Source organism: Homo sapiens, chromosome 1 (genome assembly GCF_000001405.40).
Source record: "Homo sapiens chromosome 1, GRCh38.p14 Primary Assembly".
Lineage (NCBI taxonomy): Eukaryota > Metazoa > Chordata > Mammalia > Primates > Hominidae > Homo > Homo sapiens.
The window spans coordinates 231,946,209-231,963,693 of NC_000001.11; the positions used below are offsets into that span (position 1 = coordinate 231,946,209).

A 17,485-nucleotide genomic window follows, 5' to 3' on the forward strand; every position below is an offset into this window, starting at 1 on the left:
TCAATAAAATACTGGCAAACCGAATCCAGCAGCACATCAAAAAGCTTATCCACCACAATCAAGTCAGCTTCATCCCTGGGTTGCAAGGCTGTTTCAACATATGCAAATCAATAAACATAATCCATCACATAATCAGAACCAATGACAAAAAACACATTATTATCTCAATAGGTGCAGAAAAGGCCTTCGACAAAATTCAACACCCCTTCATGCTAAAAACTCTCAATAAACTAGGTATCGATGGAATGTATCTCAAAATAATAAGAGCTTTTTATGACAAACCCACAGCCAATATTATACTGAATGGGCAAAAACTGAAAGCATTCCCTTTGAAAACCAACACAAGACAAGGATGCCCTCTCTCACCACTCCTATTCAACATAGTATTGGAAGTTCTGGCCAGGGCAATCAGGCAAGAGAAAGAAATAAAATGTATTCAAGTAGGAAGAGAGGAAGTCAAATTGTCTCTGTTTGCAGATGACATGATTGTATATTAAAAAAACTCCGTAGTCTGAGCCCAAAATCTTCTTAAGCTGAAAAGCAACTTCAGCAAAGTTGCTGTTATCAATGTGCAAAAATCACAAGCATTCCCATACACCAATAACAGACAAACAGAGACCCAAATCCTGAATGAACTCCCTTTCATAATTGCTACAAAGAGAATAAAATACCTAGGAATACAACTTACAAGGGTTGTGAAGGACCTCTTCAAGGAAAACTACAAACCACTGCTCAAGGAAATAAGAGAGGACCAAACAAATGGAAAAACATTCCATGCTCATGGATAGGAAGAAGCAATATCATCAAAGTCACCATACTGCCCAAAGTAATTTATAGATTCAATGCTATCCCCATCAAGCTACCACTGACTTTCTTCACAGAATTGGAAAAAACTATTTTAAAGTTCATACAGAACCAAAGAAAGAGCCCACATAGCCAAGACAATCCTGGGCAAGAAGAATGAAGCTGGAAGCATCACGCTACTTGACTTCAAACTATACTACAAGCTTACAGTAACCAAAACAGCATGGTACTGGTACCAAAACAGATATATAGACCAATGGAGCAGAACAGGGGCCTCAGAAATAACACCACCCATCTACAACCATCTGATCTTTGACAAACCTGACACAAACAAGCAATGGGGAAAAGATTCCCTATTTAACAAATGGTGTTGGGAAAACTAACCAGCCATATTCAGAAAACTGAAACTGGACCCCTTCCTTACACCTTGTACAGAAATCAACTCAAGATGGATCAGAGACTTAAACGTAAGACCTAGGACCATAAAAATCCTAGAAGAAAACCTGGGCAATACCATTCAGGACATAGGCGTGGGCAAAGACTTCATGTCTAAAACACCAAAAGCAATGGCAACAAAAGCCAAAATTGACAAATGGGATCTAATTAAACTAAAGAGCTTCTGCACAGCAAAAGAAATTATCATCAGCATGAACAGGCAACCTACAGAATGGGGGAAAATTTTTGCAATCTATCCATCTGACAAAGGGCTAATATTCAGAATCTACAAAGAACTTAAACAAATTTACCAGTAAAAAACAAATAGCCCCATCAAAAAGTGGGCAAAGGATATGAACAGACACTTCTCAAAAGAAGACATTTATGTAACAAACAGACGTATAAAAAAATGCTCATCATCACTGGTCACTAGAAAAATGCAAATCAAAACCACAATGAGATACCATCTCATGCCAGTTAGAATTGCGATCATTAAAAAGTCAGGAAACAACAGATGCTGGAGAGGGAGTGGGGAAATAGGGATGCTTTTACACTGTTGGTGGGAGTGTAAATTAATTCAACCATTGTGGAAGACAGTGTAGCGATTCCTCAAGGATCTAGAACTAGAAATACCATTTGACCCAGCAATCCCATATACCCAAAGGATCATTGTACTATAATCATTCTATGATAAAGACACATGCACACTTATGTTTATTGTGGCACTATTCACAATAGCAAAGACTTGGAACCAACCCAAATGTCCATTAATAATAGACTGGATAAAGAAAATGTGGCACATATACACCATGGAATACTATGCAGCCATAAAAAAGGATAAGTTCATGTCCTTTGCAGGGAGATGGATGAAGCTCGAAACCACCATTCTCCGCAAACTATCACAAGAACAGAAAACCAAACACCACATGTTCTCACTCATAAGTGGGAGCTGAATAATGGGAACACATGGACATAGGGAGGGGAACATCACACACCGGGGCCTGTCGGGTGGTGGGGGGCTCGGGAAGGGATAGCTTTTGGAGAAATATCTGATGTAGGTGACCGGTTGTTGGGTGCAGCAAAACACCGTGGCACGTGTATATCTATGTAACAAAACTGCATGTTCTGCACATGTACCCTAGAACTTAAAGTATAATTAAAAAAAAAAGAAGTGCTCCCAGGGACATTTGGGCAGGAAATTCCCGTGTTCTGGGTACCAAGAACACAAACCAGAATTGAAGGGGCAAATCTTTTGGCCATGTGACTGCCTCACCATGCAGAGGGGCATTCTGGAGGAATCTGGAAGTGAGGGTTCTCTATCATGATGCCCAGGGCAGGGGCCCCTCTTGGGCAGGTCCAAGGGCTATTCTAGATTGAAGCAGATATTCAATCATTTGTATTTTTCCTGTGTTAATTTTTTTTTTTTTTTTTTTTTTTTTGAGACAGAGTCTCAACTCTGTTGCCCAGGCTGGAGTGCAGTGGTGCGATCTCGGCTCACTGCAACCTCCGCCTCCTGGGTTCAAGCGATTCTCCTGCCTCAGCCTTCTGAGTAGCTGGCATTACAGGTGCGTGCCACCACGCCCAGCTAATTTTTGTATTTTTAGTAGAGACGGGGTTTCACCATGTTAGCCATGATGGTCTCGATCTTCTGACCTCGTGTTCCACCTGCCTCGGCCTCACAAAGTGCTGGGATTACAGGCGTGAGCCACCGTGCCCGGCCTTCCTGTGTTAATTTTTTACACATACTTGTTCATCACCCATGTATCTATCACCTGCATATTAAAGGAGAGGAGACCTCTGTGTGTGTCTTACTAGCCGGGGCACGTTGTCTTAGCATCTTTGGCCTCTAATGAGACTATGTTTATAAGCAAAAGGTGCCCAGTCAGGCATAGTGAGGCCACTTGGGGGTGAGGGCCGGTGCCTGGATGTGGACAGCATGTGTGTGTTTTGAGGTGGGAGTAAGGCCTGGAGTGATGAATGGAACTTTATAGCCAACAAAAGGCTTTCCTCAAATGGGAAGTTGTTCTGACCTCACTTTGTGCCTCTGCTTGGCCAATTTGGCCTTTTTCCTGCCAAATCCATTTGGCATAAGGAGCAGGCAGTATTTGGGCTGGCTGCTTGGGAACTTTGTAAGACAGTTGAGGAGGGCACCTCCAGCCTGGAAAACACTGCGTAGTCCGGATCTGGCTGCCTTACGGGGGCGCCATCCTTGGCCACTGAGCACAAACTACGTCTTCCTGCTAGTGTCCCAGCAGCTCTCCCAACAGCAACAGCTCAGACCACCCATCAGACCCACAAGCTCGTGTGTCTTTTAACAGTTGCATATGAAAAGCCTCTGCTTTAGAGGGAAAAGTAAATTCTTTCCTTTTGCGAAATTCCCTCAGTGAAATTCATAAATTATGTTTCATCACAACTGGGCAACAATATTGTGTATTTGTAAAAACAGAGCCTTTGGCATAAAACCCAAGTGGGTCTGAATTTTTTATTTACTCCTTGAAATAACTTCTCCCAGCCCCAGTCTCCTTATCCTCAAAAGGGATTTAGAGAGTTATTGTGAGAATTAAACAAAATAATGATGCACATGGAGCATCCTGCCAGCACTCAGTGTGAGCTCACTTTTCCTAGCTTAAGAAGATCAAGTGTGGATTGGGGCTTGTTTTAAACACAAGTTGTTTAAGAAGATAGTATTCCACTTTTAAAACAAAGTCCCAAATTTTCTTCCTTCTTCTGTCTATAAAAAAGAATGAAAAAAAATTCTGTGTGTGTGTGTGTGTGTGTGTGTGTGTGTGTGTGTGTGTGTGATGCCCATATTTCAGGGAAATAACAGGAGAAAGAATCAAAGAATGAGACTGCATATTCTCAGTTGCATACTACTAGGTAAGACAGTAAATAGGCATTCTAAGCAATTTAAAAAATACTGTAAATTAATCTCCAGGTCACAACTCTTTCAGTTATATGCGCCAGAAAGCAAGAAAGCAAACCCAAATATGCCTGCTGCTGTCAGCAGGGATTGCTGAGAAAAGTTAGCCTGTCTTTCCATTTAGAAAAAGCATTTGACAAAGGCACGTGAGTGGGAGGCTGTGAAGTGAACCTGCTTGGAACTGATAGTGTTAGCTTTTTACTGACCTGCTTTCCATACCGCAAGCATTTGGTTTTTCTTTTGTCATTGACTTGTGCGGATTTATTAGACTGTGTGCTTCAAGGGTGTCAGGAGATTGCATGTAGGAGCAGGTCTGAACTGGGAAAGTGAGAATTACCATATTAGATGATACCCAATTAACTAGTGACAGGCACAGCAGGTAAAATCGGTACCTGGGCTTTATCTACTATAAGCACTCGCCACATAGCAAACATTTTTAAACCTGGTGGAGCTTCCTTACTCATTTCTCCTTTCCTTCATCCTGCCCACTCTCCCTTCCTGTCTAAGCAAGGAGCTGTGTCTACCTATGTAAGTATCAAGACAGACAGGTCTTTGAGATGTGCTCCAGGGTTCAAGGGCAATGGGGCAGAACTCTCTGAGGGTGGTGACTCACTGGGAAGCAACAGCCACACACCACCCCACAGGACAAAACAGTGGAAGTGGAGGCATCAACATAGTTCAGAATAATTGATTTTACTTTTTTCATGGACAACTGAGTCACAGGATGATGTCCCAGTTCTGAAAACACTTTCTCACTCTCTGTTCTTTGGGTACCTTTGCCAGCATGAAGTTACTTACTATAACTCAGCATTCTCACTCGCGTTACTCAAAGGTGAAAAGCTGGAAGAATGAGTTAATCTTACTTCCACATTCAAATGTGGCTATTAGGGCAGTGATGGAAGCTCAGAGCCTGTGCTTTTGGACAGGCTGATTTCCTGTAGCTACTCTGTCTTCCTTTGGTGTGGGATCATGTAGTCCATCTAGTGATCATAATGTAAGCTTGGAGGGAAATGATTTGGAAATAATTGGGAAGGTAAAATGATATGACATGAAATGCCTGCTATTCTAAAACACAAATCTTATTTTATGTGCAACTGCTGTTTTGGATTATCCATGCCTCCTCCTGCATCAGCTAGCATGGAAAATCCTTTAAGATCTCTAACTCAGTCACTTCCTCAGGGAGTCATGTTTAAACCCCCTCAAGCTGGGCCAAATCTCCCTCCATGACGCTCTGAGAATGACTGCTGCTTTTATCATTGAATCTAACTTGTTGCTTTTATTAGTCATCTATTGATGTGACTCTTTCTGTTACCAAGCCTGATTTTCTTAAGCCCACGGGCAGCGTGATATTCACCTCTGTGGCCCCAGTGCCTAACATGGAATCTGGCATGTGTTAGGCATTTAAGGAACATTAGAGGCAGGGTGTGGTGGCTCACACCTGTAATCTCAGTACTTTGGGAAGTGGAAGTGAGAGGACTGCTTGAGGCCAGGAGTTCGAGATCAGCCTGGGCAACAAAGTGAACCCTCATCTCTACAAAAAAATTAAAAAAAAAATTAGCTGGGCACAGTGGCTCACACCTGACTCAGCTATTCAAGTCTCAGCTGTTCAAGAGATTGAGGTGGGAAGATCACTTGAGCCCAGGAGTTCAAGGCTGTAGTGAGCTATAATCACGCCACTGCACTTTAGCCTGGGTGACAGAGCAAGACCTTGTCTCAATGTCTCAAAAAAAAAAAAAAAAAAAAAAAGAAAAGAAAAGAAAGAAAAAGAAAAAACATTAGATGAATGTATGAATGACAGTCAGGTATAACTCCAAAGAGAAACCCTTTCCCTGTTACCACTTATTAAATCAGTAGGACTCATATCTGTTAATTTTCCTTCTCTCTGTAAACATCTTATCAACATCAGAGAAAAAGAGACAGAGAATTAACAACAACATACTGAACGATGCCCTGACAATGAGAAATGAATCCCTTGCTAGTTTGGTAATGATGCATTTATTTGGCTCTGGATCTAGAGAATTTATATTGAGTAGTCAAAAGCCTGGGAAGGACTGAACTCTGTTGAACTCAGAAATCCTCTCTTGAGAGTTCTAGCTAAACTAGAACTACCACAGATAGGTGATAGCAGAATGCTATATTTGAAATGCTGCAAATAAATAAATTTATACATGCAAATCAAAATCTTTTAGTAAAATCACACAATTAACCTCTCACTGGGGAGAAAGAGCCAATGTAGATATATGCTTTAGAAAGTTGTTAATCATTTTCTCATTGCAACCTACTTTGAAATCACCTTGGCCTATTGTCTCTCATATATATATGTTTATATATATATATATATATATATGTATATATATATATAAACTTATTTTACACAATGTAGATTTATTTTATGCTGATATACTAGTAATGTTCTTCCCTACATTTTACAAACAATGAGATTTTCATTTATTGATGGCTGGTCTTTGCAATGGTCAGTACTCTTTGTAACTCTGACTTTTTACAGCACAGCCTTTGGCCTCCCCTGAATTTAGTGTCTTTGAACACCTGCTTCATTTTGTTGGTGCTGAGATTTCACATCTCATGTGCACTAACTGCTGTCATGTTATATGAAGTTGAAGTCATGTGTTTTGTAACAATGAGCTCTGGAACTATCCCTTACTGGCAGTGTGACTTTGAACCTTACTGCTGCTCCATTTAACCAACTGTAAAATGGTGATAATGGTAGAGCTGCTTCACTGATACTATTATTTAGTTCATGTTTAGAATAAGGTGTTTAAAACAGGTCTTGCAAAAGAAAGTGCTCAGTAAAATGGTAGCTAAATTGATATCACGCGTGTCCCCACAGTGGGTCTCCAATGTGACAGTCAATATCATTTGCGTATGAGCAGACAAAACTCTCTAGGTTTTAGGGGTTCATGGTTGATATTTCCATTTTGCCCTTCAGTGTGAAATTTCACTCACGTAGGACTTCATGGAAAGAATCTACCATCTTTCAAGGACTTACACAATCTTATGCCATCCTACCTGCCAAGACATTCCAGCTGCAAGTCCATTTTCCTGTATTGCTGACTTTCCTGGGTCTTTTCAGGATTATGTTACCTCTTCATCCTCATGCATGATTTAATTATCCGAACAAAGGTTCTTTCATTCACTCGAAGACAGCATAATACCTTAGATATTTGAAAATTTCTCAGAGTTCTAAAATTTCTCCTTTGTCTTTCACATCTTCCTTCTGAAAGATTTTACTAAGTGGGAGTTAATTTTATCTAAATTGATTCTTGAATATTGATCTTTGAAATCTGATGACTTATTTTCATAAATGTAGGCCAGGTCTCACTTGGTACTTAATGTTAATTTAGAAAATTCCAATAACGTGGCTAATGTTTGACAAACTTTGCCATTAATGCTAAACTGGGGAGGTCCCTTTGGCTTCCATTTTCAAAGGTGAGATCGTATCGTACTGATCCCGTCTGAGGATGCCTTCCTTATTAATTGAGGGTGGTGGGGCTGGAGTTTCTTCAAATCACTGGTCCATTCAATCTGATAGCAAGTCTGCCTGGGTGTTACTCATTTCCCATGCTATTTTCATGTCAAATACTGCTGTCCCCTTATGCAAGGGATACAATTCATTGAAACCTCGTTGGACTTCCTCCCACTTAACATTCTCCTACCTTCCGTGTTGACATTCTTCTACCTTCCAACTTCCGTGTTTACACTGAAAAAGCTGTTGCTGGGTAGCTTGGTTATTTTTTTTCCCATCAGACTCATAGGGATATTTTTGGATTATTGGTTATGATGAATATTTATGGAAAATGTTGCTGTGCACTCCAGTGAGAAATCAGTGTTAAAGAGGCTGGTCCCACAGCTATCTCTGTGTCCCTGGAAGCCGTGTCCTTTTTCTATTTAATTAGTGCCAAGTATATGGTCTTGCATGAAGGAGGACCCAGATTGAACTCCTGTAGCATGATGTGTGTTTCATGCACTCTACTGTTTTCACTGATTTATGGCATTTAATTATCAATCTGTTAATCCAAGTTTTTGTTTAATTGGATTCATCAAACTAATTGTATGAATTCCACTCTGTTATCATGGCCTGAACCTGAATATCAGATTCCCTTAATAAACAGAAACAGTGAATGTGTTCCTGCTTCTTCCTGATCAGGAAGGGGGTCTGCAGTCCTCTGGTCTTGTTTGTTTCGTAGCATTTCATTTTGTATTCAGCATTTCTTTGAGCGCCCTCTTTGCTTCTTGGAACCTTGCCTTACTACCATTGCCATTCTCATAGGTCCCTGCTCTACTGGACCTAAAATGGTAGGGAAGAAAGGAAGAGGAGGGGAGTAAGAAGAGAGGAAAAGGTGAGCTCTATTCTCCGTCAGCGTGTCTGTGGCTGTATTGATTCGGAAGTTTAAAATCTAAACTCCCTGTCTACAGTCTTGGCCTGTCTTGAAGGTTGTGAGTCAACTTAGTGAATACATGCAAGGTACTTTTAGGCTGTCTGGCTGGGAGATAAGTTGGGTCCAAAGAAAGTAATAGTTCAACATAGCATTCTCCTTAGATGGCAGCCTCCAGGCAAGAAGAAAAGCCCATGGCTTTGCCTGGAAGTTCTTGTGCAGGTCCAGCGTGTCACCAACTGGTGCTTCAGACACTGAGATGAGGCAAATACTTAGCATTCAGTTTCTTAACAAAGTGATTAACTTGATAGACATCTAGATTCTTTTTAAACATAAGAATATGGCTTTCTTTTCTTCAGGTGGTGTGTCCATTTTTGTCCATCGGATAGAAGGTGCTATCACAATATAAATGGCGCGTTGCGTACGATCAGCAAGGGCTTCTTAAGTTACTCCCACTTCCTTAGTGATACTGTCCAGTCTCATTGCTTCAAACGCCAATCCCAAATGTCTCTGTTCCAGAACTTTCCCAAACTCCAGACTCAGATATCCAACCTCACACTTGACATCTCCACTGAATTTCTAAAAACTTCTGAAATTTAACAAATCCAAAGCCAAATTCTTGTCTCCCCAAACCCATTTCACTTCTCATTCTTCCCATCTCAGTTGATGGCAATTTCTGTTTTTTTTCTGGTGGCTTAGGGTAAAAATCTGTAGTCATTCTTGACTTTTTTTTTTTTTTTTTTGGAAACAGAGTTTTGCTTTTTGTTGCCCAGGCTGGAGTGCAGTGGCACGATCTCGGCTCACTGCAACCTCCGCCTCCCACGTTCAAGGGATTCTTCTGTCTCAGCCTCCCAACTAGGTGGGATTACAGGCACCCACCACCACGCCCAGCCAATTTTTCTATTTTTAGTAGAGACGGGGTTTCACCATGTTGGCCAGGCTGGTCTTGAACTCCAGACCTCAGGTGATCCGCCCACCTCAGCCTCCCAAAGTGCTGGGATTACAGGTGTGAGCTACCGCACCCAGCCAACTTTTCTTTTTCTTACACCTGGCATTTGACCCACCAGGAAAGCTATTGTCTCTACCTTTAAAATATATCTAAAATCTGCCCACTTATCACTAACTCCTGCTAATGCACTAGTTTAAGTCCCTATTGGGACATAGAATATGATACTACAAAGTACAGCACCTTGGAAACTGAGAAAACAGCAGAAGCAGAAAGGGTACTCTGACCATCTGCTGTCTTTCTGTGTGAGCTGATCTTAAAGGACTCTCTTGCTTACCTTCCCTGAAAGGTGAGCATAAGACCCTTATGTGACAGTTGCCCTGCCCCCCAATGTGGAGGGAAGGAATGCTACACAGAGGCCAAGGAGATTCTGAACAAACAGCCATGCTGAGCTCCAGTTTATCACCATTAGATCATGTTTTTGTCCAATCACGTTTCTACACAGCTGTCCATTTTTCATATGCTTCATTGAACCTAAGCACAAAAATAGACAGTTTTCTCTGGGTCTTGGGGTCTTCATCTCTGAAGGCTCCTATATCACATAAAACTTTGGTCACATAAATTTGTCATGCCTTTCTCTTGTTAACCTGTCTTTTGTTATAGGGGTGTCAGCCATGACCCTGGTGATGGGTGAGAAAAAATATTCTACTTTTCCTCCTCCACATCTCCATCATCTTTTCCTGGACGATTGCACTAACCTCCTCCATGTCTTTCTGCTTCCACCCCATCCTCCCTTATGGTGTATTCTCAACATAGTTGCTGTAGGTCAATCTCATTTTTTTCTTCTACAGTGTTTTTCCATTCCACTCAGAACACTCAAAATCCTGATAGTGGCTTTCTAGTTACTACAGCTGTGCAACAAAACATCCCCAAACTTAATGACTTAACATCACCATTAATTATGTGCAAAATTCTGTGAGTCAGGAATTCAGACAGGGTATAGTGGGGGGGACTTGTCTCCATCCTGCGATGTCTGGGTCCCTCAGACTCAGAGGCACTAACCACCTGAAAGCTCATTCACTCAGGTATCTGGAGGTTGGTGCTGGATGTATTCTAAGACCATCACCCAGGTTTTCAGCTTAAACACCTACACAGGGCCTCTCCATGTGGCTTGGGCTTCCTCACAAAATGGTGGCTGGGTTCCCAGGACAGAGAGCCACGCAGAAACTGGACTCTAGCCTCAGAAGAGTTATAGAATCCCTTCCATCATACTCAGTGGGTTGGAGCAGTCACAGCCTGTCCACATTCAAGAAGAGGGAAATAGTCTTTACCTCTTGATAGGGAGTGGCAAGGTTCTGGAAGAGTATGTGGTACCAGAAATATTGCTGTGGCCATTTTGAGACTATAGTCTACCACAGTGGCCCGCTTGATTGGACCTGGGTTGTTTCTCTGCCTTCATCTTTTCTCCCTATGGAACATTTGGCTCCGGCCACACTTGCTAGAGCATGCAGATGTGCTTCTGCCCTGGGGCCTTCAGACTGCCTACTCCATTCACAAGATGCCTGTTGATGCCCTCTTCCCTCCCTCCGCAAACTTTTATGGAGTGTCATTTCCCCAGTGATGCCTTCCCTGACCACTCTACAGCCCCTTTTCACTTGCTGTCTTTTTTTTTCCCCTTAAATCCTTATTGTCATTACCACCTTCTAATGTTTTATGGAATTTTTATGTTTATTCTTTAGCATCCCTTGCTGCCAGAATGGAAGCACTACAGAAGCAGGAATCTTTACCTCTTCTGTCCACTGAGCTATCTCACATGCCTAGAACAGTGTGTGGCACATAAATATGTATGGGATGTGAAACAGAGAGGGCGTTTCTGGTTTGGGCATTTGGAATTTGCAATAATTGCTCCAGCTAGCACAACTAAGTTTGTGTGTTAGACCAGCATAAGTCAATAAAAAAAGATACCAACTTAAACAGTTGTTTTCATTGTGTAAATGTCTCTTTTTATCTTTTATGGACTAATGAACCAGAATGTTTAATTGTTTTAATTTCCATCTAAATATTTAGTTTCTTTATGAGGAATGGCAGGGTACTTTTTCCAGTTCCACAGTCCCTCACCTTACACATACACGTTGACTGAAATAGAAGTCTAAGAATCCCCAGACACTCCAGTAGCATGAATCTGGGCAGCCTGGCTTCTGTGTTTCCACATTCTCCAACTTTAGAGTACATGAGCCCTTCAGCATAAATAACCCTTCAGAATAAAGGTTGTAATAAAAACAATGATAAAACCCACAATAACAATAATAATACTAGTAATAGACATGGCAGCACCATTGATAATTCCAGCCACCATTTGCTAGAAACCCCTTGGCTGCAGGTGTTCTTCCAGGCACTTGGTGTGCACGTCTGTTAGTTATTATCTTGAGAGGAAGGCACCTTCATTCCTCGGATGAGCAAAAGGGGAGAACTTGTTCAAAGTATATCAAATCTCTTTTATCCGTAAAGTGCCTCTTTGATCTGCTGAACCATAGCAATCATTCATTCCTTCAACATTTGGTAATTAGGAAGCGCTGAGTTTATCTCAAAGAGTAGCTGATCTCATCACTCATTGGATGTTGAGCAGTTGATTTCTAGTTACTGGCAGAATCCCATGTTTATGTTTATTTCTCAATGAAAGGTTCCACAATCCTCCTCTACCCCTAGTGTGGCTCTTCTGGTTCATCTGTAGGATGGGAATCATTACACTGTCAGGTTCTCTTTCCCTGTATTGGACAACCGAGCCAATGGCTATCAGTTGGGAAAGGTAAGAGATAGAGCACATGTCATCCAGTGATAGACTATCAGTGAGCTGCTTTTTAAAGACTACAGCAAGGCTGGCTCAGCGCTATTGCTCCAGCCTCTGACTTTCTCCTGCAGAGACACTCAGAGCCCCGGAATCCTCCCCAACTCATGACTTCAGGCAGCCACTCCAGTGGATTTGAGTGTTTTCCAAACATAGAATGTTACGATTACTAGTGGCTTGACCTCAATCCTTTGGCTTTGAGCTTTTAGTTGAATGGTTTTTATTCAATTGTGACTGCAGTTGCATTAACTTTGGATTTCCTTTTTTTCCCCCAGAAACAAGTGTGAAGGAAAATACTATGAAGTACATGGAAACACTTAAGAATAAACTGTGCAGGTAAGGATAATAATTTCTGTATTTCAGACTCCGTAGCACATCTAGATTCTTTATTATAACAGAATTTAGTTAAATCGATGAAAAAGGCTGGCCAGTTTCTCTAATAAATTAACAAAGAAAGACACAAAAAAGCCTTTTGAACCCCATCAGTGAAAGAGCAGGTGCCAGCCCTCATCTTGTCTTTTAAAAAGTAAGTAGATTAAGATGTTTAAAAGTGTCTTGGAGAGATCACAGGAGAGTTTTCATGTTCCATAAGAGAAGAATCTTCTTTACTATATTAAATTCAGAATTCATTCCTTAGTCTGTTTTTCCCTTTTTTAAACTTTAGTGTTTGAGGGGGGTCTTAAGGATTTTAAGGCGGTTTATACATGGTTTGGAATAATATAGAAATGCACGTCTTAGGTTCTGTTTTGAATCCTGAATCAAAACCAGCATGAAAATTTCTGGTTGCTTTTTTTAAAACCCAATTAGGAATTCATCTTTGAGAAATGTCAGGGATGCTGCAGCATGACAAGATGTTTCTGGCTTTTGTGGATGTGTGCTTAGGAAAATAAATCCCAGTCATCAGAATCTGTTCCTAATTAAGGCAACAAGTACTAGAGTGGAATATGCGCTTTCTTCCCTGGAAGTCATTTAGTTTTATGGAGACCATTTTGCTATTATTTTGGAATTTGTTAAGTAACTCTTTAGATAGGCTATGCCTTAAGCCTTTGTCTGCTAGGACGCTGTCTTGAGCTAAAATGCTGCTTTTCCATTAAGAGATGTTGAGAGGGCCTGCCTTGCAGAGCCCTACTCTTCAGGGTAAGCAAGGCACTACAGGATTTATTCTCATCCTTGGAAAGCCGTCCTATAACCTCCTGATTGATCTTTCCCTGCTTCCCATGCTCCTAGACTTGGGAAGAATCTATGACACAGGTGGTTAGCAGAGGTGAGCAGAATGAGGAGAGCTTGCACCTGGGTCAGATGCTCCGCTCTGAGTCTGGCCTTCCTCCTCTCGCATGTGTTCGGGGCAGATTTCTGGCACATCCTTCTTGATCTCAACTGCAGCTGCCATTGTTTTAGCCATCAGCACAGCACACACCGTAAGTTACATTAGGTTATCAGGCAGCCAGTGGTAGCCATAAGCACGTGGGTATTGGTAAAGAGACACCCATTTAAATTGCAGCTCTCCCACATAAAAACTGCCTAACCTTAGGTAAGTGCTCACTTTCTGTTCAGTTTGTTTTGTTTTGTTTTTTTAGCTATATAACTGGAGGAAAGGTACCTACCTCCCCAGCTGGTGTGTGAATTTAAATACCATATGTAAAGCATTCATGTGATTGGTAGTAGGCACGCATTAGTTTCCTTTACCTTCTTCTTATTTATTTATTTATTTATTTATTTTGAGATGAAGTTTCGCTCATTGCCCATGCTGTAGTGCAATGGCGCTATCTTAGCTCACTGCAACCTCTGCCTCCCAGGTACTAGCGATTCTCCTGTCTCAGCTTCCCAAGTAGCTTGGATTACAGGCAGTGCCACCATGCCCGGCTCATTTTTTTATATTTAGTGGAGATGGAGTTTCACCATGTTAGTCAGGCTGGTCACAAACTCCTGACCTCCGGTGATCCACGGCCTTGGCCTCCCAAAGTGCTGGGATTACGGGTGTGCACCATCGTGCCCGGCCACCTCCTTCTTTATATCATTAGAACTGATTGGACACTTATGAGTGGAAAAACACAAACTGCTTTTCCTCTGTTCTCACACAATGCAATAATCAACACAGAAGGCTTCTGTGATGAAATACATGAGGGTTTCTCCCCACCAAAAAGTAAGCAATCAGTTCTGCTGCAGATACCAGCTGGGTGTCCTCTAACTCATTTCCGACACCAGCTACCTGGAGACAGCATCAGATGCCACAGGTTGAGGGCTCAGTCCCACAAGACTGCCCCACTTACAATGCCAATGGCAAGCCCAGGTTGTTTTGCCTGGGCTTCTGACCAACCAACTAGAAATTGGGATTCCCATGATCCCCTCCTTGGGTTTGATTAATTTGTTAGACTGGTTCATGAAATTCAGAAAAACACTTATATTTACTGGTTTATTATAAAGGAGGTTACATAGGATACAGAAGAAGAGATGCATAGGGTGAGGTATGGGAAAGGGGCACCAAGCTTTCATGCCCTCCTTGGGCACACCATCTTCAAGGAACCTCCACATATTCAGCTATCTGGAAGCTCTCTGTACCCTCTCCTCTTGGGCCTTTTGTGGGGACATCACTGGATAGGTGTGACTGAAGTATGGACAACCATGTAGCAATGTGATTGGACAGAAACTGTGACCTACCACAAATAGACTGAGTGGGAAAACCCCACAGGGCCTGTGTGTTCAGATTCCCCAGCTTCTCTGTGCAGCGTTTCTTCCTTCAGGTGTGGGACAGGACTCCTTCTGAAATGAGGGTCTATGACCTACAGTCAGATAAGGTAGGTCAGAGAATTTCTTTCCTTCTTTCTTTTTCATAAGTTCAACTTTTATTTTAGATTCAGGGGGTATATGTATAGGTTTGTTATATGGATGTATCGTGCGATGCTGAGGTTTGGGGTATGATTGATCCTGTCACTCAAGTAGTAAGCACAGTACCCCTGGAATTAGTTTTCAACCCTTGCTTCCCTTCCTCCTCTGTCAGTCTCCAGTATCTATTGTTCCCATCTTTATATCCATGAGTACCCAGTGTTTAGCTCCCACTTGCAAGTGAGAACATGCAGTGTTTGGTTTTTCGTTCCTACATTAATTTGCTTAGAATAATGGCCTCCAGCTACATCCATGTTTCTGCAAAGGACATGATTTTATTCTTTATATGACTGCATAGTACTCTGTGGTATAAATGTACCATGTTTTCTTTATCCATTTCACCATTGATGGGCATCTAGGTTGGTTCCATGACTTTGCTATTGTGAATAGTGCTGTGATGAACATACGAGAGCATGTGTCTTTTTGGTAGAATGGTTTATTCTCTTTTGGATATATACCCAGTAATGGGATTGCTGGGTTGAATGGCAGTTCTGTTTTAAGTTCTTTGGGAAATCTGCCAACTGCTTCTACAGTGACTGAACTAATTTACATTACCACCAACAATGTATAAGTGTTCCCTTTTCTTCACAACCTCTCCAGCATCTGTTGTTTTTTGGCTTTTTAATAATAGCCATTCTGACTAATGTGAGATGGTATCTCATTATGGTTTTGATTTACATTTCTCTGATGATTAATGATGTTAAACTTTTTTTGTATTTCTGTTGGCTGCTTGTATGTCTTCTTTTGAGAAGTACCTGTTCATATCTTTTGCCCACTTTTTAATAGAGTTATTTGTTTTTTCTTTGTCAAATTGTTTAAGTTCCTTATGGATTCTGGATATTAGACCTTTGTTAGATGCATAGTTTGGGAATATTTTCTCCCATTCTGTAGGTTGTCTGTTTACTCTGTTGATAATTTCTTTTTCTGTGCAGAAATGGTTTAGTTTGATTAGGTCCCACTTGTCAATTTGTGTTTTTGTTGCAACTGCTTTTGAGGATGTGGGCATATATTCTTTCCCAAGGCTGATGGAACCATAAAAGAGCCTGAATATCCAAAACAATCCTGAGCAAAAAGAACAAAGCTGGAGGCAACACGTTACCCAACTTCGGGCTAAACTGTAAGGCTACAGTAACAAAAACATCAAGGTGCCGGTATAAAAGCTGAGAATTTCTTTATGGTCAGCTCCAAGACAGAAAGGCAGGGGGAGATTAGGGTATATTTTTAGTTTTTATGAACTGCCTAGGGGAGAAATAACAGTGGATGTGGGAGTTATGAGCCAGGAATTGTAGATGAAAACCTATATACATAATTTCAACAGTCATGCTTGGAACTCATCCTCTCTCCCTCCATGTCAGCTCCTCCTCCTGTTCATCCAGCCCAATGCACGGCCCACCACCCACCTGGCTGCCTGGGTGGGCGGGCACCATGGGCTCATGCTGGCTCACCAGCCTCCTTTCTCACTCAGTTCCCAGTCTTGTCAGTCTTGCCTCTTTAGCATCTCACAAGCCTGCCTACCTTTATCACACTGACATTGTGGGCCCCTCTTCTGATCATAATAGCAACTTTTCCTGCTTTGCTGTTCCACTGTTGCCCTCTTACCACCTTCTCCAGGTGGTTTTGAGTAAGCATCTTAAAATACCAATCTGGTCATTGCACAAGGCTGCCCGATGTCCTAAGCATAAAGCCTAAATGCCTTACCATGGTTCATGGCATTCTTCCATGTGGCCTCTGCATGTACTTGATTATCACCCATCACTACCCCATCATCACCCTATTGTAGCTGATACTTGTTCCCTTATGCTTCCCAATGCCATTGCATTTTTTTTTTTCTGGAAAGAAACTAATTTAGAAGGGGACATGGTTAAGGAGTATCATCCAGAGAAATATTCGATTGAATCATGTGAAATTGCTGATATTTCACCATTTTTGACCTAGAAAAATGACAATTTCATATAGTTAACCCAATATTTAGGGATTTGAAGTCATCTTCAGAAGGGTCAGATGCTGTGGCTGGTCTCCTTGCCCTTGACACACAGGCATAGTTTGCTCCCCCACCCCTCTGCATGTGCCCTGGTGGGCCTCTCCCAGCCCACCCCTCACCCTCACCAGGCCTTCCCATTCAGCCTTCAAGGTTTAGATTTCTCCTCTGTGCAACCTTCCCTGACTAACCAAGACTGAGTAATGTGCTTGCAATGATTTATTCTCACTTTCCAAGTGCTCCTTGACAGGTATTATAATGTAGCAGGACAAGCCGCAGA

General features: G+C 41.7%; 1 protein-coding gene and 1 long non-coding RNA gene across 10 annotated transcripts in view; both read left to right on the forward strand.

Annotated features, from left to right (window-relative positions):
- TSNAX-DISC1 (TSNAX-DISC1 readthrough (NMD candidate)) overlaps positions 1-17,485 on the forward strand; it is a 512,620-nt gene that overhangs the window by 417,556 nt on the left and 77,579 nt on the right. Inside the window, exon 13 of the long non-coding RNA NR_028393.1 lies at positions 12,620-12,680. This is a non-coding gene — a long non-coding RNA (TSNAX-DISC1 readthrough (NMD candidate)). The remainder of the gene's footprint in view (positions 1-12,619; positions 12,681-17,485) is intronic.
- DISC1 (DISC1 scaffold protein) overlaps positions 1-17,485 on the forward strand; it is a 414,483-nt gene that overhangs the window by 319,419 nt on the left and 77,579 nt on the right. For 6 of the 9 annotated variants that reach the window (NM_001164537.2, NM_018662.3, NM_001012957.2 and 3 more), the window contains one exon: positions 12,620-12,680. The exons of 1 other annotated variant lie outside the window; for it this stretch is intronic. In NM_001164537.2, coding sequence (NP_001158009.1) covers positions 12,620-12,680 — 61 coding nt within the window. Of the gene's footprint in view, positions 1-12,619; positions 13,296-17,485 lie in introns of those variants that run through there. 2 more of the 9 variants (NM_001164542.2, NM_001164546.2) reach the window with 1 other exon arrangement.